We start from the raw sequence: 27,004 nt of genomic DNA, 5'->3' as shown, positions 1-27,004 counted from the left end.
TTGAAACTGGACCCCTTCCTTACACCATATACAAAAATTAATTCAAGATGGATTAAAGACTGAAATGTAAAACCCCAAACTATAAAAACCCTAGAAGAAAATCTAGGCAATATCATTCAGGACAGAAGAATGGGCAAACATTTCATAACCAACATGCCAAAAGCAATTGCAACAAAAGCAAAAATTGACAAATGGAATGTAATTAAACTAAAGAGCTTCTGCACAACGAAAGAAATTATCATCAGAGTGCAGAGACAACCTACAAAACGGGAGAAAATTTTTGCAATGTATCCATCTGACAAAGGTCTAATATCTAGAGTCTACAAGGAAATTAAATTTACAAGAAAAAAAAACAACCTCATTAAAAAGTGGGCAAAGGACACAAACAGACACTTCTCAAAAGAAGACATAAATGTGGCCAACGAACATTAAGAAAAGCTCAACATCACTGATCATTAAAGAAATGCAAATCAAAACCACAATGAGATACCATCTCACACTAGTCAGAATGGTGATTATTAAAAAGTCAAAAACAACAGATGCTAGAGAGGCTGTGGAGAAAAAGGAATGCTTTTACACTGTTGGTGGGAGTGTAAATTAGTTCAACTTTTTTTTTTTTTTTTTTGAGACAGAGTCTCGCTCTGTCACCCAAGCTGGAGCGCAGTGGCGATCTTGGCTCGCTGCAAAGTCCGCCTCCTGGGTTCACGCCATTCTCCTGCCTCAGCCTCCTGAGTAGCTGGGACTACAGGCGCCTGACACCATGCCCGGCTAATTTTTTGTATTTTTAGTAGAGACAGGGTTTCACCGTGTTAGCATGATTGTCTCAATCTCCTGACCTCGTGATCTGCCTGCCTTGGCCTCCCAAAGTGCTGGGATTACAGGCATGAGCCACCACACCTGGCCAATTAGTTCAACTATTGTGCAAAACTGTTGTGCAAAAATAGGGTGGCAATTCCTCAAAGACCTAGAGACAGAAATACCATTTGACCCAGCAATCCCATTACTGGGTATATACCCAAAGGAATATAAATCATTCTCTTATAAAGATATATGCACGTATATGTTCATTGCAGCACTGTTCACAATAACAAAGACATGGAATCAACCTGAATGCCCAGAATTGATAGATTGGATAAAGAAAATGTGGTACATACACACCATGGAATACTATGCACCCATAAAAAGAAATGAGAGCATGTCCTTTGCAGGGACATGTATGGAATTGGAAGCCATTATCCTCAGCAAACTAATGCAGGAACAGAAAACCAAACACCACATTTTCTTACTTATAAGTGGGAGCTGAATGACAAGATCACATGGACACATAATGAGGAACACCACCACTGGGGCCTGTCGAAGGTGGGAGTTATGGGGAGGGAGAGCATTAGGAAAAATAGTTTATGCATGCTAGGCTTAATACCTAGGTGATGGGATAATCTGTGCAGCAAACCACCATGGCATACGTTTACCTACGTAACAAACCCGCATATCCTGCACACGTACCCCAGAGCTTAAAGGTTGAAGGAAAAAACAAGAAAGAAAATCAAGAAGAATCTATAGCTAAATTATTAGAATTAAGAGTTCAGAAAGTTTGTAGAATACAAATGTATATAAAAAATTGCATTTCTATTTACCTGTGTAGGGAAGGGAAACTATCTTTTTCTTCTACCCTTCTGAGTTCTTGATTGTGGCGTCTGTAACAGAAGACAGAGAAAAGCATATAAAAGACAAAAGAGAAGCATACACATTTTAAAAATATAAGCTTTACATGCCGTGAGAGCTTTAATAAGGAAATGAAGACCCAAATAAGTGATTAAACCTGAGTGTTTTTAACACTGTATTTGATGAAGAGTGGAGAGTCACAAAGAAATATAAGACAAAGGGGGTATGAGCTAAGGGTAGTAAAGTGGAGGACACAGCAAAAATTTAGTTCATATTTCCCTCTGTGTCCTTTTGTCTTCACAAATAAGAATGATTCTTTCCTTAGAATATAGGGAGGTGAAGGGGGAAAATAACCCCATAGTCTTTTTTTTTTTTTTTTTTTTGAGACGGAGTCTTGCTCTGTCCACCAGGCTGGAGTGCAGTGGTGCGATCTCGGCTTGCTGCAGCCTTCACCTTCTGGGTTCAAGTGATTCCCCTGCTTCAGACTCCCAAGTAGCTGGGACTACAGGTGCATGCCACCACACCCAGTTAATTTTTTGTATTTTTTAAATAGAGATGGGGTTTCACCATGTTGGCCAGGATGGTCTCGATCTCCTGACCTCGTGATCTGCCGGCCTTGGCCTCCCAAAGTGCTGGGATTATAGGCGTGAGCCACCATGCCTGGTCCCCCATAGTTTCTTAGTTGGAATGGACCCCTATAACAAAAAACAGATTAACGGGAGAAAAACAAATGGAAGTATGTCTTTAAATTACAGCTTATATAGCATCTTCAATAAAGAACAGTCAATTTTTAGAGAAGTGACAAGACAAACGAAAAGGACTTTGACAGTAACTTGGGGGAGGGCAAATAAATGGCAGATAAAAGCGAATTAATAAAGCTTGTTAATGTAGATTTCTCTAGTACCATCTACAGGCCAATGAGGGTCTAAAGCTGTTCTGGCAGTTAACCCTTTTCTTCCTGGCAGAAGGCAAGGATACCTTTAGTCTTTGTAAGTGTTTATCCTGCTTTTAAGCAAATAGAGGGAGAGCAGAGAGCTTTCCTGCATCCGCTTCTTCTTAATCATCTTCAGCTCAACAATTCTTCATATTTTGGGGTGACATATTCTGTTCTTCCACAGAGGGTTCCTCTCACAGGAGGGTTTTGTGACCTGCTTCAGGAAACAGTCAGAAAGTCCATACCACATATGCCATTTCTCAAGTTTTTTCAGCTTAAAATATTCAGTAAGACAAAATGTCAAATTTTGGAGTAACATGTCCTGAACTACATGATGAGCAATATTTAGATAATAAATATTATTACAGTAATATAATGGAATATCACTCAAGAATAAAAAGAATAAACCCCTGAAACATGAAACAACATTGCCGAATCTCAAAAATGTTATCCTGAGTGAAAGAAGCTAAATCCAAGAGTGCCATATTAGTTATATATTGCTGCATAATATTACCCAGACATTCAGTGACTTAAAGCAACATTTATTATCTCAGTTTCTCTGGGTCAGGAGTCTAGGAGTGGCTTAGCTGGATGGTTCTAACTCAGTGTCTCTCATAAAGTTGCAATGAAGGTTCATCTAGAGATTTCAGTCATCCGAGACATGATAGGGGTGAAGGATCTGCTTCCATTTTTAATTACATATATGGCTATTGGCAGTAGGCTTCAGTTCCTTGCCACATGTGCCTCCCCATGGGGCTTCTCAGGGCATAGCTTCACCAAGAACAAGTGATCCAAGAGAGTGAGAGTGAAAGAGACTGAGATGGAAGCAACTGTGTTTTAATAACCTAATCTCAGGAGTGATATACAATCACTTCTGCTGTATGTGATTGGTCACACAGACCAACACTGGTACAATGTTGGAAGGGGCTACACAAAGATATGAATACCAGAAGCCAGGGATAATTTTGGATCATCTTGGATACTGGCTATCCCAAGGGCATAGTGTATGATTATATTTATATAAAATTCTTAAACAGGCAAAACTAATCTAAAGCTGGTGAAAGCTAACAGATTAGTGGTTGCACAGTGATGGTAGTTAAGGGTGAATGTTTGAAAAGGGGCATAAGAGAAGTTCTGAATTTCTATAGAATATTTATATAGAAATGGGATAGTGGTTACATGGGCGCATATACTTGTCAAAACTCATTGAATAAAACATTTAAAATGGATTCATCTTATTTACTTATTTATTTATTTTTTGAGACGAGGTCTTACTCTGTCGCTCAGGCTGGAGTGCAGTGGCACAATCTCAGCTCACTGCAACCTCCGCCTCCTGGGTTCGAGTGATTCTCTTGCCTCAGCCTCCTGAGTAGCTGGGATTACAGGCGCGTGCCACCACGCCAGGCTGATTTTTATATTTTTAGTAGACACAGGGTTTCACCATGTTGGCCAGGCTGGTGTTGAACTCCTGACCTCAGGTAATCCACCCACCTCAGCCTCCCAACGTGCTGGGATTACAGGCTTGAGCCACCACGCCCAGCTGATGCATCTTATTATATAAATTATATCTCAAAAGTTGATTTTTTAAAAAATAGAAAATGGAATTCAAATAAAGATACCACTTATAATAGCATACAAATCAAAGCACTTAGAGATATAGAAAAATAGAATTCAAATAAATATACTATTTACAGGCTAGGTGCAGTGGCTCACACCTGTAATCCCAGTACTTTGGGAGGCTGAGGTGAGATCAGGAGTTCAAGACTAGCCTGAACAACATGGTGAAACCTTGTCTCTACTAAAAATACAAAAATTAGCTTGGGCGTGGTGGTGCATGCCTGTAGTCTCAGCTACTTGGGAGGCTGAGGTGGGAGGATCACTTGAACTCAGGAGGTAGAGGCTGCAGTGAGCCAAGATTGCACCACTGGACTCTCAGCCTGGGCAACAGAGTGAGACCCTGTCTCAAAATAATATATACTATTTACAATTGCATACAAATCAAGGCACTCAGAAATATATTTGATAACCTAATTAGTAATCAAGGAAATAAACATTAAACATCACAATATTCAACAGATTAACACACACTGAAAGTCTGACAATTCAGACTGGTGATGACATGGAGCAACAGGAATACCCAGGTACTGCTGGAGGGAGGATAAATTGGTCTAGCCACTTTTGAAACAATTCGGCATTCTCTAGTAAAATTGAAATTGTATCCGACTACTGGTGATATACCTGAGAGAAATTCTTTCATGTGTGCACTTGAATACAGACTATTTAAGCAGTATTGTTCGTAAAGCCAATAACTGGAAACAATCTACGTGTACTCAGTAGTACACTAGACAAACAAATTGTGTTGCATCCAGAAAATACAAAAAGGAAAACCAGGGGAGAATGGCTATAGCCAACTGTCACAAGCATTGTTAAGCTAAAGAAGACAGTCACAAAAGACACTAACAATATGATTTTATTCATGTAAAAGTTCAAAAGCAAGGCAAGCCAAACTATGTCATGTAGTTTGAATCCATACTTAAGTTGAAAATCTGTAAAGAAAATGAAGAAAATAATCATCACAGATGGCTAGACCATGGTTGTCACTGGGAGAACGAGAGAAGAATGTGATGGCAAGGGGGACCATAGTAGGGTACTTTGGTGTAGGCATTGTTTGATTATTATTATTAACACAGGTGATAAAAATAACAGAACTCAGGTGTCCTACTAGTTTTAAACAAGTGTTTGATACTTAATTACTTTATAAACTTTGTGTATTTTTCTTATTACCCTTGACTCCATCTCCCTTTTGTTTTTTTTCCAAGCAGTTAAATGAGGCACAAGGTGGTAACTAGCAGTGCATACTCACACGGACCTGCTGCTCCTGTTGCCACTGACATGCCCACAAAGTCTGAACAGAGGTGGCTGTGCCCAGCCCTCATCTTCAAAATCACTGAGGCCTCCTCTAATAGCATCCTTGTGAGGTGCTGCCTCAGGGCCCTCAATCTTGGACTGTGATTTAGTGAGCATTTTCCGAACACAACATATTTTGTCTCCTAGGTTAAAGGGGGTGGCTTTAGATAAACAGATTATAAATTGTGACAGAAAGAGCACCTAGGATTGCTAGAAGAGATAAGCCAGCAATGCCATGCTATCTGGCATCACCAACAAAAATGCTGGAACTAACATGGTTGATGTCTTATCACACCAATGTCCTTACATATTAACTCTTTCTTTCTCCTGTAATAGTGCCTCCTCATAATGAGGCTTATGCATGAGTTCCTGGGAGCTGGACTTGAGGACTGAGTCAGGACTGAAATAACTGACTTTGTTTTTGGAAACAATCTACATGTACTCAATGGTACACTAGACAAACAAATTGTGTTGCATCCAGAAAGTATAGAAAGGAAAACGAAGGGAGAATGGCTATATCCAACTGTCACAAACAATGTTAAGCTAAAGAAGACGGTCACAAAAGATACCAACAATATGATTTTATTCTTGGATTGTGATAAGATTGTCCTTTTCCCTCAGATCCTGTCCACTGCCCTTGGCCATATTCTATCCATCTGACTCTTTTTCCCTCATGGAAAGTCCTTCCCAGGAGGCAAATCAAACTCTCACATAAGGAGATATTTCTCTGACTGCCTCCTCAGGATTCCAGACATTCCCAAGCATGTATAAATCCTAGAAAGAAAAGAGGAGCTGAGGACAAAACTTGGGTTCATCTTGCCAAGTTATAACAATTCTACTTGGACACTGTGATGGTGAGGTGCAGTGTTTATAGCCCATCTAGATTATTGTTTTTGACTGTAGCAGCCTATGGGGAAGGTTGCTGTAGAAGCAGACCTATATATTTTTTTCAGATTTCATCAGAAATGAATACATACATGAGGGTTGTGGCAGAGAGACTTGAGGAAATATGATATTATTAATGGAAATTTCTGAATGCATAGTGAAAGGCTTAATAAATAGACTTTAAATTTTTCCTGATGTTTAAAACATATTGTCTAAAATAATAATTTTGGCAAGTTCAATTTTGCAGTATTATCAAAGATAAAGTTTTGCCTTCAATTAAGCCAGGGTCACAAGTCAATCAGATTTCAAGTTAAAAAGGAAAAAATAGTCTATATTGGATCCACCCTGCCAGATTACTGAGGACCAAGGACATTGAAGTCCAGGCTGAGATGTGGTAACCCAGGAGTTTGGGCTAAGTGTGGGGGCTATGGTGCAGAAGACTAAAGCAGGCTGTCTAAGCTTGGGGAGACGGTAAACCAAAAAGCTGTACTTTCTATCCTAATGAAATCAATTGGAAGGTACCTGGCATAGGGATGTCACTAAGTATACTGCTGAGTCTCTTTTAGCATTTCAGAGCATCGTTTTTCCAGTTACTGTGTGTTTTTCCTTCAAATCGCACAGCTGTGTTTCTCTTTGAAGGCCCACTCTTGGGCTACTGGGTTTGCTCTGCCTCAACAGCAAAAAGTTTGAAGTGCCTGGGAGTTGACAAACTGCCCTTTTACCCCCACCCTAAATCCAGTGACCCTTATTCCAGGACTGGCTGGTGCAGGAGTTATAAAGCCCAGCTACTTTCCTTGAAACAGCTCTAACTCTGAGCTGTGATTTACGCAGGATTAGGCTGAGGTAAGGACCTGGCCTAAAACCACACAATTGCTTGCTTCTTCCTCTTTCCTCTCCTGTTTTTCTCACTCTTTTACAAGATTCTCCTGGCAGCACTTCCTTCATAAACAACTTGCACCTGAATCCTCATCTTGCGGTCTGTTTCTGGGTAACTGACAATGATCATCAAAAATTTGTATATACAAATATATGGATAGTGGAAAGCCACTACTTCCACTCACAAAGAAACTTCAAGTATGCAGGTTCCCTTCTTTGAAATTCTTGTCATAAAAGAGAAAATAAATGTTATTTAAAAAGAAAAGTTGGATGGATATTAAAATTAGCAAATTACATTTCATCTTATTGCATGTATGTTCAGGGTTGCTGAAAATCACATTTCATAACTGGATTAGTAGAGGAAGTAGAAGAAAAATAAGACTCAGTGCTCATCTATTAATAAATGCATATATACGAGGAACTGCTTGAAAACAATCAACTTCGAATCAGGTTCAAATTGGCTGCTGCTGAGAGTGGAAATGAAATTCACCCTCTGAGCCAGTGTACAAAATGTTCTACTTCTAGCTTGAATCATAAGAAAAAAGAAAAGGAAACTCTCTTTTCTTTTCCCTTTTAGAATTGGCTTAAAAGATAAAATACTGTTCTGCTAAGTAAATTCATAGATATACTGATCACATTTCTGTTTATTTTCAATCCCTGTGCAACAACATTTGACATAAATTGACTTCATGTTCCGCTGCACAGCAAGATTTGTTGTTCATTCTGAATTAACATTATTCTGTAGCATGCATTGTTGCCATTCAGAAGCCAAATCAGGAAGTCAAAATGGCAACACTAATCAACTTTGAAGCTTTTTCAAAATGCATGTTTTGGAAACCCTATACATTTATAACATCATCCGAATTTGAAAAAGTAATCAAACTTCTTCATCATTTCTTGTTGGATACATGCTAGTTTGGCATTAGGACTGTACAATTTTTCTCAGAAAATTCCATTCTGAGAAATCTTTTTGTAGTGGCCATTTGAAAGATCTCTTTGCAGCCCATGGAACAAAAAATTACCTGTTTTAATGGAAACTCTTTCCTCTTAATGACAACGTGGATGCTTATACAATGTTATTCCATCTCCTAGGTATACTTCAAGGACCAGGGTAATCCAGTCAGAATCTATACTCTGAGAATCTGGAATAGGAGCTAAGATAATCTTGTGTCAGTCTGTACTGAACTCTGAAAGAGAAAAGGTGTAAAATCTTGGGCACATGGCTGTTGTTAATTAATGCATTAGGTTCCTAGGGCTGCTGTAAGAAAAGTACCAAAAGCTTGGTGGCTTAAAACAATAGAAATTTATTCTCTCACAGTTCTGGAAGCCAGAAGTCTAAAGTCATGGCCCTGCTCTGAGTTTTCTCTCATCCTTCCTTGCTTCTCCTAGCTTCTGGTGTTTGCCAGCAGTCCTTGTCATTCCTTAACTCGTGGATGCAGTACTCTAGTTACAGGGCCATCTTCACCTTGTATATCTTCCCTCTGCGCATGTCTGCCTCCATATCCAAATTTCCCCTTTTTATAAAGATAGCAGTCATATTAGAATAGAGTCCACCCTAATTGCCTCGTCTTAACTAATTACATCTGCAAGGACGTTATTTCCAACATATCTTTATTGAGGGATACAATTCAAGCCATAACAGTTGGGTTCCCATGAAGCTGACCCTGAGATGAGGATACGACTGCAATCAAATCATTAAGTGCTCACAGGAAAAATCAGTAAGGCACTAATGGAAACAAGGCAGGATAAAGGAGGAAGCAAAAGTTCCATAGAAGGTTGGATTACTCAATTTTATCCTGCAACGGAACCCTGGAGTGTGAATTACATTTTGGAGTTTTTCTGATTAGAGACAAGCAAACAGGGCATGCCTATGCTTTCAGCAATTATCATTGACTAAGGACTGCCTTGGGGGTGGTGGGGGAATGTAAATCCCCAGGCACTTTCATCTCTGCTACATCCCAGCAAATGGGACTCCAAGACTCTCTTGGCAGTCCTCTAAACAGAATTGTAGGTGTGAACTACAATTCCTATGCCCTAAAAGAGAAAATAAATGTTATTTAAAAAGAAAAGTTAGGCTGGGCACAGTGGCTCACGCCTGTAATCTCAGCACTTTGAGAGGCTGAGGCGGGTGGATCACCTGAGGTCAGGAGTTCAAGACCAGCCTGGCCAACATGATGAAACCCCGTCTCTACTAAAAATACAAAAATTAGCTGGGCATGGTGGCACACACCTGTAGTCCCAGCTACTTGGGAGGCTGAGGCAGGAGAATTGCTTGAACCTGGGAGGCAGAGGTTGCAGTAAGCCGAGATTGCGCCATTGCACTCTAGCCTGGGCAATGGAGCAAGGCTATGTCTCAAAAAAAGAAAAAAAATTAGGTGGATATCAAAATAAACAAATTCCATTTCATCTCATTGCATGATATGATTTTGCTTTGTGTCCCCACCCAAATCTCACCTCTAATTGTAATCCCCATGTGTCAAGAGAGGGACATGGTGGGAGGTGATTGGATCATGGGGTCAGTTTCTCCCATGCTGTTCTCGTGATAATGAGGGAGTTCCTATGAGATCTGATGGTTTAAAAGTATTCAGCAGTCTCCTCCATCGCTCTGTCTGTCCTGCTGCCATGTAAGATGTGTCTTGCTTCCCATTCGCCTTCTGCCATGATTGTGTTTCCTGAGGTCTCTCCAACCATGCAGAACTGTGAGCCAATTAAACCTCTTTCCTTTATAAATTACCCAATCTCAGGTAGTTCTTTACAGCAGTGTGAAAACAGACTAATACATTGCATGTATGTACATGGTTGCTGAAAATCACATTTCATGAACAGATTAGCAGAGAAAGTAGAAGAAAAATGAGACTCAGTGCCTGTCTATTAATAAATGCATACATACTAGTATCTGCTTGAAAACAATCAATTTCAAATCAGGTTCAAATTAGCTACCACTGAGACTGGAAATTAAATTCACCCTTTGAGCCAGTGTACAAAATGTATACTGGGGAGGGGAGGGAAAGGGATGCAGGTGGGCTAGCCCCCAAATTTGGGGCTTAGCTTAGGAGGGTTCTTGGCTTTTCTCAAGAAAGAATTCAATAATGAACCAGCAGTGAAAGACAGCACCTTTTATTGAACCAGTACTGCTTTTTGTGGAACAGGACTAATGCATAGGCAGTGTGCCCAGAGTTGGCACTTGTGGGCTATTGGCTAGCTGTATTTATATCTACTTTTAATTACATGCAAATTAAGGGGTGGGCTATGCCAAAATCTCTAGAAAAGGAGCATTAACTTCCAGGTAGTTGCCATTGAAAGGGGTGGTAACATCTGGGTCATTGCCATGGCATTTGTAAACTGTCATGGTGGTGATGGGAGTGTCTTATGCTAATGAGCAATGAGGGCAATTAGAGGTTGCTTTCAGCACCATTTGTTGGTTCCAGCAAGTTTCTTTGTTTCATCCGGTCGGGACTAGGAAATAAGTCCTCTGATCTTCTACCTCAAAAACATACCAAAGCTAGGGGATCCACAAAAAAGACAAATTGGAATTGGAAGGTATTTGGGCAGAACACTGATATCTGCTACAAGTCACATGGCCACCTCTCAGCATGTGGACTGTGTAGCAGAAATAACAGGTCTGCAGAGAGAGAATAAGGAGGCCAACACAAGAAAGAAAACCCTATGACAGAGTCCTTTCTGGGTACCTGATGGCTTTCTTTCCCAACTATATTCTTTCTGAGGTTTTAATGTATTCTTTCCAATTATTTCCACAGTATCCCCCTATATTACCCCAATAAATTCCTGCCCCCTTCTACTTCTTCTTCCTAAGCTAATAACAGTTGTTTCTATGACTTGCAACCATACAACCCAACCACCAAATATGGCACTTTTCTTGGAATGGTTTGAATGCAGTCCTGCTTGGAAGGTCCTTTGGATTTAAACAAAGTAAAAAAGTTAAAAAGATAAATGGAAAAAGGTAACAAAAATCTTTTTGAATAAATATCCCCTCTTTCACACTACTTATAAGGTTAGTTACCTGAATGTTCCAAACTCAGCTCATCACCTCTCTCTGGAAGTTTTTTTTTTTCTTTCTGTGAATGACACCACCATCCATTTACTCAGTTACCCAAGCTCATAAGTTTGTGTTATTTCCACTCCCCACACCCTATCAGATTCCAAGACTTGTGGAATAATCTCTGTGTTCTCTCAATTTTCAGTGCTGTCTCCCTGTTTCAAAACCTCTTTACTTACCTTTTTGTGTTATTATTCAAGCAGGTTCCAAACAGCCTTTCTGCTTCCTGTCTCACCTAATTTACTCTGCACACCACTACTGTTCATCTTCACCCAGGCATATATCCATTCATTCCTCAACTATTTACTGAGCACCCATACTACAGGTAGAAGTGAAAAATATAAATATGGATATGATGTTGATAGAAATGGCATTTACTATTGTGCCTTGCATTGTTCTAAGTTCTTTACATGTTTTAGCTTATTACATTATCTTTAAATAATTATGAACAAGGTACAATTTTTGTCTATACTTTAGAAATTAAAAGAGAAAACGGGCGTAGAAAAAGTAAATAATTTATCTAAGCTTGCAGCTTCTCTCACAAGAGGTTCAGTGAGATAATTAAGCCCTATAGAAAACGACTGGAGTGACTATTTCCTCAATTCTTCCAAGAATGTATAACTAACACCATTCTAGTAACATAGGAAATAAATTAATGCATTGTATAGAACAATTGTTTTGGAGTGTTAGTGCTTAATTCCCTGGTGGAACCCTATTAAGAGCAGTCATGTCATGGGACTAGCAAATGATAGTTTTGGTCTCAGTCTGTTGACTCTGTGCCCATGCTCTCAGCCACTATGAATTGCTGAGACATGCAATAGTGGACAATGTTCATTGTCACAGCTGTATAGCACCCAATTCCTTCCTATTGTTGAGATTCTCTCATTTCGTATGGAGCCTTGTCTTGCATTTAGAAAGTTGAAATTGTCCTCCCTCTCTCTGCCCTATGGTAGCCAGGCATATACCACTAATTCAGATTCCATCATGGGGGTCTGCAATTTGAGACTGGAAAGAGTAACTCAGTGACACAGGGAATGTTAGGGAGTCCTCACAGTCACTGAGGCCATGTCAGCAACATTGTAACACAGTAGTGGTGTCCACTACATGAATAACAGCATGCCAGCCAGAGAATCTTACAAGGATATGATTTGTCCTCCTGTTCTTGGCCCTTTGATGCTCTCTTTGTTTCTGTTCAACTGTACTGCAGGGTGAAAAATACATACAGTCTCATCAGATCTGATAAGAATTTGGCCTAAAATATTCAAGATTATCAAGAAGACTATTTGAAACATGGATTTATGCCTAAAATTGTAAATGCTGGTTCACCTCAACCTAAGATTACATATTTTATGTTCATTTTTTATGTAAGGTCGGCCCTCTGTATCTGTGGGTAATGCACCCATGAATTCAAACAACCACAGATAGAATTTTTTTTTAATTGGGTCCGTAAAGACATTTTTTCTTGTCATTATTTTATAAGCAATATAATAAAACAACTGTTTTTATAGCACATTATATTAGGTATTATAAGCAATCTACAGATGATTTAAAGTATGTGGGGAGATGTGCATAGGTTACACATAAATACTAAGGCATTTTACATCAGGGACTTGAGCATCCATGAATTTTGGTATTTAAAGGAAGTCCTGGAGCCAATCTCCCATGGACAGTGAGGGAGGACTGTATATATACATATATACAGTTATGTACAACATAACATTTCAGGCAACAATAGTTTTGCATATATTGATGATGATCCCATAATATTATAATACCATATTTTTACTGTACCTTTTCTAGGTTTAGATACACAAGTGTTTACCATTTTGTAGCAATTTCCTACAGTATTCACTAAAGTAATGTACTGTATAGGTTCATAGCCTAGAAGCAACATGCTATACCATATAGCCTAGGTGTCTAGTAGGCTATCCCATCTAGGTTTGTGTAAGTGCACTCTCTGATGTTTGCACAACAACAAAATTGCCTAACAATGCATTTCTCAGAATATATCCTCCTCATTAAGTGATGCATGACTATATATACATTATATAGGATGAAAGGAAGCATTATTTGTAGTTTAGCATTATTACACATTAACTCTTTAAAGACAGAGCAGCTTGTTTCTAAACGTGTGCCTCTTAGAGTCGTGAGGATTACATTTATATCTATCTATATCTTTATATCTATATAGCTGTATATAGATACGTAAATGTTAGAGTGTGGTGAGTGACTATTTATAATTGTATAAATAAATCCATGTTTCATATATTTTATATATATATGTATAATAAATACACTAAAGAAACAGATGCACTGGGGAAGGGGACATATGCTTTTCTTTTTAACTGACATTGTAGAGGTCTCTAAGCTTTTTTGATCAAACATCCTAAATTTATCGTTTAAAATCTTTCATGGTATCTTCTAGGGTTTTAAAAATTTCATTTCGTTATATTTAAACATTTCACATCTTTGGAATTTATTTTGGCTAAAGGAGTGAAGGAGGGATCCCTCTACTGTTTTCTCTCCCCACCACCTTATTTTCTAAGGCCAAACCAACTCTATGAATTGTCAGTAACGCATCCTCAGCCTAATGTTATAAAAACTATCTTCAAAATATTCTGTAAGACATTTCTTATAGATCATTTATTTGCTAAAAAAAAAATTGTGTGGTTAAGGGAACATGAGGTTTCAGCTTGCTTGGATTTAAATCAAGAGTCTCAGAGATGGTTTACATGGATTTTGCAGTACAGTCTGACAAGACTGGCCTGATAGTCTTGCAGTAAAGCCCCATGTGCCACAGGCTTCTTGAGTGATGACTTGGCACTTGCTCTTCTTCTCCTGACAAAGATTAACAGCTACGAATTGGTTGCCGTCCCCCACCCCCAGCCTCTTTCTGCCATACTGACCACCTGTTTTTTCTGGGACTTTTTTTGTTCAAGGCTGCCTCCCTTGCCGCTCTGTGTTGGAGTGGCTTCAAGGAGGCACTCTCAGTCCAGCCCAGCCTTATATTAGAACTTTCTTTGTTAAGTGAGGGATTTTTCTGCCACTTCTTTTTGGAGAGCTCTGTGCTCTATTCAAGTTCCAGAGTTCAAACTTCAGTTTTAATAACCAGTAGTTTTGTGATCTTGGGCAAGTTACTTACCTTCTCTATGCCTCTGTTTCATTGCTTGTAAATGGGGAAAATAATATTACCTATCTCACAGGGTTGTCAGGATTAAATTAGTTACCACTTAGAATATTTCTTGGTATATGGTATATCATTGATACTTAACAATGCTCTTTAATATGTGGAGAATTTTAGGTCTATCTTGGAATCTATCCCTGTTTAGGTTTCAGTTCCACTGCATTTGGTTGGTATTTGTAGGGGGCAAGGCCCTTGGCCCACTGAAGGTTCCCTAAAAATCACTGGCATAAGGCATATTGATTAATAGAATAGGTATACATATTTATTTAACGTGTATACAAGGGAGCCTTCAGAATGAAGATCCAATCCCCCAGTGAAGTATAGAAGCTTATATAAGCTTATCTTTTAAAATGTATTCATTTATTTTTAGAGATGGGGTTTTGCTCTGTCACTCAGACTGTAATGCAGTGATGTGATCATAGCTCATTATAGCCTCCAACTTGTAGGTCAAGCTATCCTCCTGCTCAGCCTCCCAGGTAGCTGGGACTACAGGCACATGCCACCATGCCTGGCTATTTCTTTTATCTTTTTTGTAGAGACAGGGTCAGACTATGTTGCCCAGGCTGGTCTTGAACTGGCCTTAAGCAATCTCACCTCGACCTCCCAAAGTGCTTAGATTACAGGGGTGAGCCACCACATCAGGCCCTTATATACCATCTTAAAGTTACAGAAAGAATGGGAGCTTGGATCCTTGCAAAACAAGAGAAATTCTATTGAGGAGCAGTAAAGGATTACTAGAGAGAATGAATGGTTGGGGAACAGAGATTACCTGGTAAGTGGTTCTCTTTAGAATGTGAATGAGTCTAAGAGACAGACATTATCTTATAGAGTCTGTTCAGGTGTGGTTACATTCTTGGTCTTCTTTTCTGCAATAGGTAATGAGATAACAGGGAGGGGAAGAAAAATCTATTGTTTTCCTTGGTGAGTTCAGACTTTAGGCAGATAAAGGAACTTCAGAGAACAACTTTATCCTATACTTTTTATTTTTTGAGACGGAGTTTCACTCTTGTCGCCCAGGCTGGAGTGCAATGGCGCGATCTCGGCTCACCACAACCTCTGCCTCCCAGGTTCAAGTGATTCTCCTGCCTCAGCCTCCCAAGTAGCTGGGATTACAGGCATGCGCCAACACGCCCGACTAATTTTGTATTTTTAGTAGAGATGGGGTTACTTCATGTTGGTCAGGCTGTTCTTGAACTCCCGACCTCAAGTGATCCGCCCGCCTCGGACTCCCAAAATGCTGGGATTACAGGCGTGAGCCACCGTGCCCGGCATATCTTATGCTTTAAGAGAGACTATTATGGGAAGTGAGGAAAGTCAGAGGGACCTTAAAGCTTCTTCAGTTCACCATAACCAAATGTCATATTTTGAGGTATCAGTTTTTGAGCTCCAACATATTCTTTTTGGTTATAGTTTGTTGTGTGGCTCCTTCCTTATTTCATTAAAAATAAAACTTTCTTCCATTTATATTTTTTCTTTTGAAGGTCTATGGTGATTGATTTAATATGGGAAGAATATCTCTTCACCTCAGTTTTTCAATGTAACCTAAAGAGATCATTTTATTGTAGGGGAGGAAAAAAATATTTTTACCACTATGCTTCATAGTTCTTAGTTGGGATAGACCCCCGTAACAAAAGACAGATTAACAAGAGAAAAACAAAAAAGTTTATTAACATGTATGTCTTATGTATACATTGGGAGATACTGAGAGCAAAAAGTAAATCTCAAAAAAATGGCTTTGAATTCAGGCTTAAATACTATCTTCAGTTGAAACAAAGAAAGAAGGGTGTGGAGGGGAAGCAGTTATGGGAATGTGACTAGAAAAAGCATGGTAAACAAGGGTAACATTTTTTATGCAAATTTAAGCAGGTACCTTCTCCACTGATAAGAGTTTCTAGTGATTTAGAGTAAGCCTTTTCTTTCTGGTATGGAGTGGGAGACACCCTTACAAATGGAGTTTTTTTTTAATAGATGTGAATTTCTCTTACAAAAGGGTAACTTCTCTGTTTTTAGAGCTTCTCCTGTGTCTGTAGTTTCTTAGAATAATCAACTGAAAATAGTCCTTATGCCAAAGAGGCATATTTTGGGGTGGCATATTCTGGACTCCTACACTATACATATATAACACATTTATAGTTATAAGAAGAAAATATATCATTTCTCTCTTTCTCTCTCTCTCTGCTTGAATTATTTTCAATATTTGCTTGAATATTTCTTAAAAACACATTCATTTATCCGGAAACAATTCAGATACCTTGAGGTGTTTTTCTTTGTTGTTCCTCTATTGTATTGTTTTTATTTTAGAAATCTCTAAACACTCATTTTATAGAAATGCTATCCAATTTGAAGAGTTGGGGAAGAGTGTGATATAATCGTCTTTCATTTTCAATAATTAACTGCAAACTAATAGGTACAGTTTTATTTGGGTAAATTTTAAAACCTTTTTCTCCTGCAATTGTACAAATAGAAATCTATAGGCAAGAGCCATTAATCTTTATTTTCCTAATATTGTTTTGTGTAAATGCAGCAGTTGTCCTTTCAGATTATTTCCCTTTGAGCTTACATTGTGTTTCTCCATACAAGACAGGGCTAATTTCTCAAAATATGCCTTATAGAGTTGTCGTGAAGATCAAATCAGACCAAATCATGTAATGATTAAAAAACAATAACACTTAGAACCATGCTTGGTGCCTGGCATGCATTAAGCACTCAATTAATGTTTGCTATTATTGTTATCCTCTTTTGTCCTACAGGAGGAAGTTTCTCCCTTTAGAATGTCTTCCTAAACATTGAGTTGTGGTCATTTATATCACACACAGAGCTCCCTTCTGCCTTCTATCTCCTTCCCATTTTCAGACACCCACAAAGAAACCCCACAGGGATTCAACAGCATCCTTTTGTGGCCCTTTTACTAAATTTAAGTTTTGTGTTTTATCCCAGCTTCCTTGTCTTCCTTTATTCAGATTAGAAAACCCTTGGTGAAATCATTTGTAAACTGTACTTGAAATGCAGGGTTCAGATGCCCCTGTGATCCACACTTTTAGAGGTAAAAATGGTTCAGTGCAGCTGTTTGTTTGAACTTGTTGAATATCTATGGGTGGAACCTCCGTTTCTGATTATTTTATGTCTGAATAACACCTGGCTTAATGTTTTGAAGGCGTAGCATTGAGCCTTGGCAGACGTCCATTTGAGGTTTTGTTGTTGTTGTTATTGTTAGCTATGTGACCCAGGTGAGGTACCTAAAAGCTCAGTGCCTCAGCTTCCTTATCTGGATAGTGGGGATAACTAACAATAATGACTATCCTACTGGATGAAGGTGAAGATTAAAGGAGTTAAGTATATAAAGTTTTTAGCACATTCTAAAGATAAAATATATTATTATGTTGTATTATTTTATTATTGTTAAATAAAAATTATTCATGACACTTGTTAAAGAACAGTGAGGCAGACTATAGTCAGAACTGTTGCAATAGGTATAGGGACCACTGTAATGGGGTTTTGCATTTGGGGAGAGAGATTGGGCTCAACTTCAAATATAACAAGGAAAAAGGGAATTTACAACCCAGGATGAGGGGTGGAAAAAAGGCATTTCATGCAAATGAACTTTAAAAGCAAGCAGGAGTAGCTATTCTTATTTCAGACAAAACAAACTTTAAAGTAACAGCAGTTAAAAAAGACAATGAGGGATATTATATAATGGTAAAAGGCCTTGTCCAACAGGAAAATATAATCCTAAACATATATGCACGTAACACTGGAGCTCCCAAATTTATAAAACAATTACTAGTAGACCTAAGAAATGAGATAGACAGCAACAGATTAATAGTGGGGGATTTCAATACCCCACTGCCAGCACTAGACAGGTCATCAAGACAGAAAATCAATAAAGAAACAATGGGTTTAAACTATACCTTGAAACAAATGGACGTTAACAAATATATACAGAACATTTTATCCAATAACTGCAGAATACACATTCTATTCAACAGCACATGGAACTTTCTCCAAGATAGACCATACGATAGGCCACAAAATGAGCCTAATAGATTTAAGAAAATTGAAATTATACCAAGCACTCTCTCAGAGCACAGTGGAATAAAACTGGAAATCAACTCCAAAGGGAACCTTCAAAACCATGCAAATACATGGAAATTAAATAACCTGCTCCTGAATGATCATTGGGTCAAAAACAAAATCAAGATGCAAACTAAAAAATTCTTCGAACTGAACGACAATAGTGACACAACCTATCAAAACTTTTGGGATACAGCAAAGGCGGTGCTAAGAGGAAAGTTCATAGCTATAAATGCCTGCATCAAAAAGACTGAAAGGGCACAAACTGACATTCTAAGGTCACACCTCAAGGATCTAGAGAAACAAGAACAAACCAAACCCAAACCTAGCAGAATAAAGGAAATAACCAAATCAGAGCAGAACTAAATGAAATTGAAACAAACAAAAAAAACCCCCAAAGATTAATGAAGCAAAAGGCTCATTTTTTGAACAGATAAATAAAATTGATAGACAATTAGCAAGCTTAACCAAGAAAAGAAGAGAGAAAATCCAAATAACCTCAATAATAAACGAAATGGGAGCTATTACAACTGACACCACAGAAATCCAAAAGATCATCCAAGGCTACTATGAACACCTTTACACACATAAACTTGAAAACCTAGAAGAGATGGATACATTCCTGGAAAAATACAACCCTCCCAGCTTAAATCAGGAAGAATTAGATACCCTGAACACAACAATAACAAGCAGCAAGATTGGAATGGTAATTAAACAATTATCAACAAAAAAAGTCCAGGACCAGACAGATTCACAGCAGAATTCTACCAGACATTCAAAGAAGAATTGGTACCAATCTTTTTGACACTATTCCACAAGACAGAGTAAGAGGGAACCCTTACTAATTCATTCTATGAAGCCAGCATAACCCTAATACCAAAACCAGGAAAGGACATAACCAAAAAAGAAAAGTGCAGATTGATATCCCTGATGAACATAGACACTAAAATCCCTAACAAAATACTAGCTAACTGAATCCAACAACATATCAAAAAGATAATCCACCATCATTAACTGGGTTTCATACCAGAGATGCAGGGATGGTGATGGTTTAACATACACAAGTCAATAAATGTGATACACCTAGGCAGAAATTTACATTTTGACAACATCTGCATTTTACCAATAATCTTTTGGGCTGTTTTTATTTCTGAAAGATTAAAGTCACATGAACTAAAAAGTACCGTAGCTTTTATCTTCCCTTTCAAAAATATTTCATCCAAGCGCTCATCCTTCTTTAAGTCAATTAATTAGAGCTCTTTTTTATAGACATCACACACACAACACATGTATAACCACACAGACAGGCAGAAGAAGATCCAGTAGCTATAAAATTTTTCCTTTGCCAATCTCCTAATTGCATTATTGGCTTCTGGGTGGAGCCCTTTAAGAGCAAGGCTAGGAAAGCATGTAGTTTCTAGGGTCTAATAAACAAGTGTAGCTGGAAGACAAAAACAGATTTTGGGAGGGATCTATACACCTCTAATTCCTGGCACTCCATAAGGAAAACAGGTGTCTCTAAAAATTGAATCTGTGGTACCTTTTCTGTTTTTCCCAAGAGTCCCAGGCCATCAGAAATTATCTTAGAACCTCTCATGCATTCAGTAAGAGTGGCAAGGCAAAATGGAGTTCAGTCGACTGAGAAAAAAACCTTTTCCCAGCAAAACAAGATCCAAGAAGAGAAAACCATAAAGTCCTTTTAAATATACCCATAACTTGGATATCCACTTTTAATTAAGCTGAGTGCTCTTTAAGAAAATCCTTTTAAGTCCCTTATTACCCGACTTTAGCCATGCCAAGTGGCCAATATTTCTGGCTTTTGAACTTTACCAAAGGTAACCTCCCAACTACTCCAAGAAAGGAAAATACAAGGTGGTTCATGGAGGGGAAGAGAATTGACAAATGGCAAAGGTCACACAGATATCAAACCAGAAAGGACTCATTCCCTAAGCCAGGATTGAACCTGGGCCACCGCTGTAAATGGTGGAGGCTGAAACAAAGCATTGCCATGTGGTTACAGGTCACACTCCCAATAATTTAAAACAAGATGGAGGCCTTCAGCAAAGTTTGCTACTGACCAGTTTGCTGGGCTTGAACAGTGGACCTATGTAATCCTAGGCCTACATCCCATTCTAAGGTACCCCTCTTTCCGACAGAACCATAAAGAAAAATATGCAAAACACACCAGATTGAGTATAGCTTAAGACCAACCTCAAAAATCCTTTTTTTTTTTAAATATAATTAAAACTTTACAGAGAATATAAACAGTGATAGTTGGGATCCTGGCCTAGTCAAACGTCTTCTAAAAGGAAAATAAAAAAGCCTGTCACATAAAAGTTAATGCCTGGCCTAGTGGAGAAAAGAAAAAAACAGCTTAAAGTGCAGAGTTGGAAAGTGTATTAGTCTGTTTTCACACTGCTGATAAAGACATATCCAAGACTGGGAAGAAAAATAGGCTTAATGGATTCACAGTTCTATGTGGTTGGGGAGGCCTTACAATCATGGCAGAAAGTGAAAAGCACCTCTTACATGGTGGCGGCAAGAGAAAATGAGAATCAGGTGAAAGGAGTTTCCCCTTTTAAAACCATCAGATGTTGTGAGACTTATTTACTACCATGAGGCCAGTATGGGAGAAACTGCCCTCATGATTCAATTATCTCCCACAGGGTCCCACCCACAACACTTGGGTATTATGGGAACTACAATCCAAGATGAGATTTTGGTGGGGCACAGCCAAATCATATCAGAAAGATGCCTGGGGAAAGAACTGCTTGTTCTTATGTAAATGGTTTCTTCCAACAGGGAGAAAAACTTAATTGCTGTTTCTTCCCTGGGGCTCAGAGCTGGACCCCTCAGCTAGGGGAGGGGAGGCCAGGTGAGGGGAAGACATCATGGACGTGTGGTGGGGAACACTGGCCAGCCTGCCACGTGGGGGCCTTGGGCCATGTGCTCCAGCCCCACCTGGGAGGGGAGGGGAGCAGGGAGTCATGCCTGCAGCCATTGGGGTGGGGGTGAAACACCCCCAATATTGTAAAAGAAAGGATAGGTGCCAGTACAGTCTCAAAAAAAGAAGGAAAATGCCATAGAAATTCTGGATTGGACTGAGACTGACACTGCTGACCCCTGAGAGCAACGAGGTGGGGCACAGTTTACCCTCAGAAGAAGTCCAAGGACAAAAAGTCTCAGAAACAAAAGGGACAAACATTTTTTGGTCTGCATTTTACTCACCTTTCCTCATGTACCAGTATGGGTCACCAAAATGATCCAGGATCTTTCGCTCCTTAGTTCAGCTAAAATCAGGTTCTTGTCACAGGACCAGGAAAAATTAGGCATACGGACACATTGAAAGGTGAGGAGAGCGGAATTTATTAAAAGAAAGCTCTGAGCAAAAAGAAACCAAAAGGGGTCCTTCCAACACGCATCCACCTCACAGATTGAATGCCAGGCCACCACACACACAACCTGAAGAGGCCACGCTCCTCCCCACTGCATAAGGAACGAATCCCCAGTGGCTCCACCCCATGCTTCCAGTGAGCAGGCCGGCCCCCAGTCCATTGTGGGCATGTCCAGACAAGGGCCTGGGCAGGTTCTCTCATGTGCATAAAAGCATCTGATGTAAACACTTGTGGGGTGGTTGGGAGATTCTCCAGGGATCCTCCCTTAGCTGCCTCCTGCAACTATCACCAGGACTAAGAAGTTTCCCATAATTTCAGACAAGTTTCCTTTGAAGATTGAAAATACACTGCGTATTGTTTTGGTTCATAGGAGGCCGTGTCTTACAGTGGCTAAGTATATGAACTTTGGAGAAAAAAAATGACTTGGATTTTAATTCTGGTTATGTCACTTTCTAATTATGTGACTTTGGGCATTGCTATGGTTTGAATGTTTGTGTGCCCTCCAAAATTTATGTTGAAACATAATCCCCAATGTAACAGTGTTAAGATGTTTGGCCTTTGAAAGTTTCTTAGGCCATGAGAGCTTTGCCCTCATGAATGGATTAGTGCCTTGTAAAAGGACTGGAAGGAACAAGCTAGGTCCTTTTGCATTTTGCTCTCTGCCACATGTGGCTTCAGCAAGAAGGCACCATCTTGGACACAGAGAGAGCAACACTCACCTAACACTGAATCTGCTGGCATCTTGATCTTGGACTTCCCAGCCTCCAGAATTGTGAGAAATAAATTTTTATTATTTATAGATTACCCAGTCTGTGGTATTTTGTTATAGCAAGATTAATGGACTATGACAGGCATGTTAACTCTCAGATCCTCAGTTTTCTCAGGTAGAATCTTTGAACCTAGTACCTACCATATAAGAATGTTGTAAAGACTAAATTAGATGATGCTTGGAAAAGACCTCACATAGGTGCTCAGTGTATTAGCACTGGAGTCTCTTCCTTGTACTTTGAAATGTACCTGCTATGGTTTGAATGTTTGTTCCCTCCAAAACTCATATGGCAATTTAACTGCCACTGTTACAGTATTAAGAGATGAAACTTTAAAGAAGTGATTAGGGCATGTGAGCTCTGCCCTCGTAAGTAGGACTAATACCTTTCATACAAGGGCAAGTTTGGCCCTCTTCTTTCTCTTTTCCCTTCTTCCATGTGATGGTGCAGCAAGAAGACCCTTGCCAAATGGTGGCACATTGTTATTGGACTTCCCAGCCTCCAGAACTGGGAGCCAATACATTTCTATTTGCTATAAATTACTCAGTCTATTAGTCGGTGGTTTTCTACTATAGCAACACAAACAGACTAAGACAATCACTTGTACATATCATGATGCAATATGTGAGAAATGCATCCAACTATATCAATATGACACAGCAATTAGGACTAAGAGCTAAGATCATCTGTGTCAACATGACTTAGTTATTTGTTCCAAAAAAAACCTTTCCCAGGGATGATAAAACTGCAAACCAATAAATAGTTTCAGTCTTCGCTTCAGGAAATTCCTACAAGTCACTTTATCTGAGACAACAGCCTGCTCTCCTGAAAAACAATTTATATATTAAACGGTTTATTTACCAAGGCGTGCTTCAAGACCTTGTGTCTACCAATCTTAAACCATTATGTTACAAACTGCTCAGTCTTGATCAGGATACCACACTGAAATCCACACCTTAAACCAGACCCCAGATCCTTTAAATATCCTCTTTTGATCTTCTGATTTTTCTTTTTTTTTTTTTTTTTTTGAGACAGAGCCTCGCTTTATTGCCCAGGCTGAAGTGCAGTGGTGCACTCTCAGCTCACTGCAACCTCCACCTTCCAAACTCAAGAGATTCTCACGCCTCAGCCTCCCAAGTAGCTGGGATTATAGGTGTGTGCCACCATGCCAGGCTAATTTTTATATTTTTAGTAGACATGGGGTTTCACCCTCTTGGCCAGGCTGGTCTTGAACTCCTGGCCTCAAGTGATCCATCCACCTTGGCCTCCCAAAGTGCTGGGATTACAGGCATGAGCCACTGCAACTGGCCTGATCTGATTCTGATCTGGCCCCTGGATACTTTTCTGGCCTCATCTCCTATGATGCCTTACTTGCTAATTGGAGCCACACTGACATACTTGTTGCATTTCAAATGCTCCAGGAATACTCACACCACTGGATTTTATATTTGTTTGTCCCATGTATATCCACATGATTCACTCCCTTATTTCATTCACATCTTTGTAAAAATGTCTCATTAGCAGAGTGACTTTTCCTAAGCACTTCATGTAAAATTAACCCTCCAAGTACTGTTTATTCCTAATTTGTGTTTCTCTATAGCACTTATAACCTATTGTATAGCTTTATGTGTGTGTATATACATGTTTATCTATCTTCCTCTCACTAGAATGCAAGCATCATTAGAGAAGTGACTTTACTTTTGTTTGTCATTATATCCCTAATACCTAAACAGTGCCTGAAACATAGTGATTAATATTATTTGATGAATATTTGATATATATTTATTGTGAATAAATATTTGATGAATATTCATTATATGGTTTGGCTGTGTCTCCACCCAATCTCATCTTGAACTGTAGTTCCCATAATTCCCACGTGTCATGGGAGGGACCTGGTGGGAGGTAATTTAATCATGGGGGCAGTTATCCTCATGCTGGTCTTCTCATGATAGTGAGTGAGTTCTCACAAGATTTGGTGGTTTTACAAGGGGCTTTCCCCACTTTTGCTCAGCACTTCTCCTTGCTGCCACCATGTGAAGAAGGACGTGTTTGCTTCCCCTTCTGCCATGATTCTAAGTTTCCTGAGGCCTCCCCAGCCGTGCTGAACGGGAGTCAATTAAAACTCTTTCCTTTATAAATTACCAAGACTTGGGTATGTCTTTATTAGCAGTGTGAGAACAGACTAACACAATTCATCAAGTAAATATTTGACAAATAAAGAAATGAGGGACAAGTGAAAGTATAAAAAGACATGATAGAGTCTCAGTTGTTGACACTTGCTAGAAGCAGCCATTTCATCCAATCCAAACTTGGATGCCCTGTTGATGTTTCTGGCATGAATCAGACTGTTTAGAGCAGTGCTATCCAAAATTGATCATGTCATTTCTTGCTTAAACCCTTCAATAGTTTTCTATTGGTCAGGAGTTGGTAAACTATCACCTAAGGGCCAGATCCATTCTGATGCCTGTATCTTGTACACAGAGTTTTATTGGATCACAGCCATGCTCATTCATTTATGTATTGTCTATGATTATTTTCTTGCTATAACAGCACAATCGAGTAGTTGCAACAGAGACCATATGGACCACAAAGCCTAAAATATTTATAATCTTGTCTTTTACAAAAAAAAAAAAAATTCTGACCCCTGCTATTGGCTAAATTAAGTACAATGTTCTTCGGACCTGTCTCATACCTGGAAGAACAGCAGTATGCGACTTAGCTAAGAGTTTGGAATTATGTAGGTTCTGTAGCGGTCAAAGGAAAACTTTCCCATTGCTGTCTGAAGTTTTGCTGAAAATCACTGACAAAAGGCAGATTAATAGGAGAAAAGACTTACATATTTATTTGATCATAGTTTTTTACATGACATGGGAGCCATCAGAATAAAGACCCAAAGATACAGGGAAAACTGTCCATTTTTATGCTTAGGTTCAACAAAGTATGGATAGCTTTGTAGAAATATAATTGGACAAAAGGTATGATCTAATGCCAACAGACTGAGTGGGGAAACCCAGCACGTCCTTTCTGTCTGGATTCTTCTTGGCCTCTTTGAGCAACATTCTTTCCTTCTGGGTGTGGGACAGAACCCTCTCTTGATTAGGGCTCTTATGACCTACAATTAAACAAGGTAAATCAGATAATTTCTTTTTTTTATTTTTATTTTTATTATTATACTTTAAGTTCTAGGGTACATGTGCACATTGTGCAGGTTTGTTACATATGTATACATGTGCCATGTTGGTGTGCTGCATGCATTAACTTGTCATTTACATTAGGTATATCTCTTAATGCTAACCCTCCCCCCTCCCCCCACCCCACGACAGGCCCCAGTGTGTGATGTTCCCCATCCTGTGTCCAAGTGTTCTCATTGTTCAGTTCCCACCTATGAGTGAGAACATGTGGTATTTGTTTCTGTCCTTGTGATAGTTTTCTGAGAATGATGGTTTCCAGCTTCATATGTGTCCCTACAAAGGACATGAACTCATCCTTTTTTATGGCTGCATAGTATTCCATGGTGTATATGTGCCACATTTTCTTAATCCAGTCTATCATTGATGGACAGTTGAGTTGGTTCCAAGTCTTTGCTATTGTGAATAGTACCGCAATAAACCTACATGTGCATGTGTCTTGATAGCAGCATGATTTATAATCCTTTGGGTACATACCTAGTAATGGGATGGCTGGGTCAAATGGTATTTCTAGTTCTAGATCCTTGAGGAATCGCCACACTGTCTTCCACAATGGTTGAACTAGTTTACAGTCCCACCAACAGTGTAAATGTGTTCCTATTTCTCCACATCCTCTCCAGCACCTGTTGTTTCCTGACATTTTAATGATCACCATTCTAACTGGTGTGAGATGGTATCCCATTGTGGTTTTGATTTGCATTTCTCTGATGGCCAGTGATGATGAGCATTTTTTCATGTGTCTGTTGGCTGCATAAATGTCTTCTTTTGAGAAATGTCTGTTCATATCCTTCACCCACTTTTTGATGTGGTTGTTTGATTTTTTCTTGTAAATTTGTTTAAGTTCTTTGTAGATTCTGGATATTAGCCCTTTGTCAGATGGGCAGATTGCAAAAATTTTCTCCCATTCTGTAGGTTGCCTGTTCACTCTGATGGTAGTTTCTTTTGCTGTGCAGAAGCTCTTTAGTTTAATTAGATCCCATTTGTCAATTTTGGCTTTTGTTGCCATTGCTTTTGGTGTTTTAGACATGAAGTCCTTGCCCATGCCTATGTCCTGAATGGTATTGCCTAGATTTTCTTC

The 27,004-nt window shown here is 39.1% G+C and overlaps 1 long non-coding RNA gene across 1 annotated transcript in view, besides 1 other annotated feature; it reads right to left on the bottom strand.

The window, feature by feature from the left end:
• PINCR (p53-induced noncoding RNA) overlaps window positions 1-22,016 on the bottom strand; it is a 49,605-nt gene extending 27,589 nt beyond the window's left edge. Inside the window, exons 1-4 of the long non-coding RNA NR_110387.1 lie at window positions 21,805-22,016; window positions 8,287-8,418; window positions 2,641-2,813; window positions 1,635-1,694 (exon numbers count right to left, since the gene is read on the bottom strand). This is a non-coding gene — a long non-coding RNA (p53-induced noncoding RNA). The remainder of the gene's footprint in view (window positions 1-1,634; window positions 1,695-2,640; window positions 2,814-8,286; window positions 8,419-21,804) is intronic.
• Window positions 21,566-22,765: an enhancer, noted in NCBI's record as "MED14-independent group 3 enhancer chrX:43035494-43036693 (GRCh37/hg19 assembly coordinates)". NCBI's record gives its function as "activates an origin of replication core promoter dependent on BRD2, BRD4, P300/CBP and CDK7 cofactors, and independent of MED14, by STARR-seq in HCT116 cells {active_cell/tissue: HCT116}" and the evidence as "EXISTENCE:reporter gene assay evidence [ECO:0000049][PMID:35650434]".

Source organism: Homo sapiens, chromosome X (assembly GCF_000001405.40).
Source record: "Homo sapiens chromosome X, GRCh38.p14 Primary Assembly".
NCBI lineage: Eukaryota > Metazoa > Chordata > Mammalia > Primates > Hominidae > Homo > Homo sapiens.
This window is presented reverse-complemented; position numbering and strand designations above follow the sequence as displayed.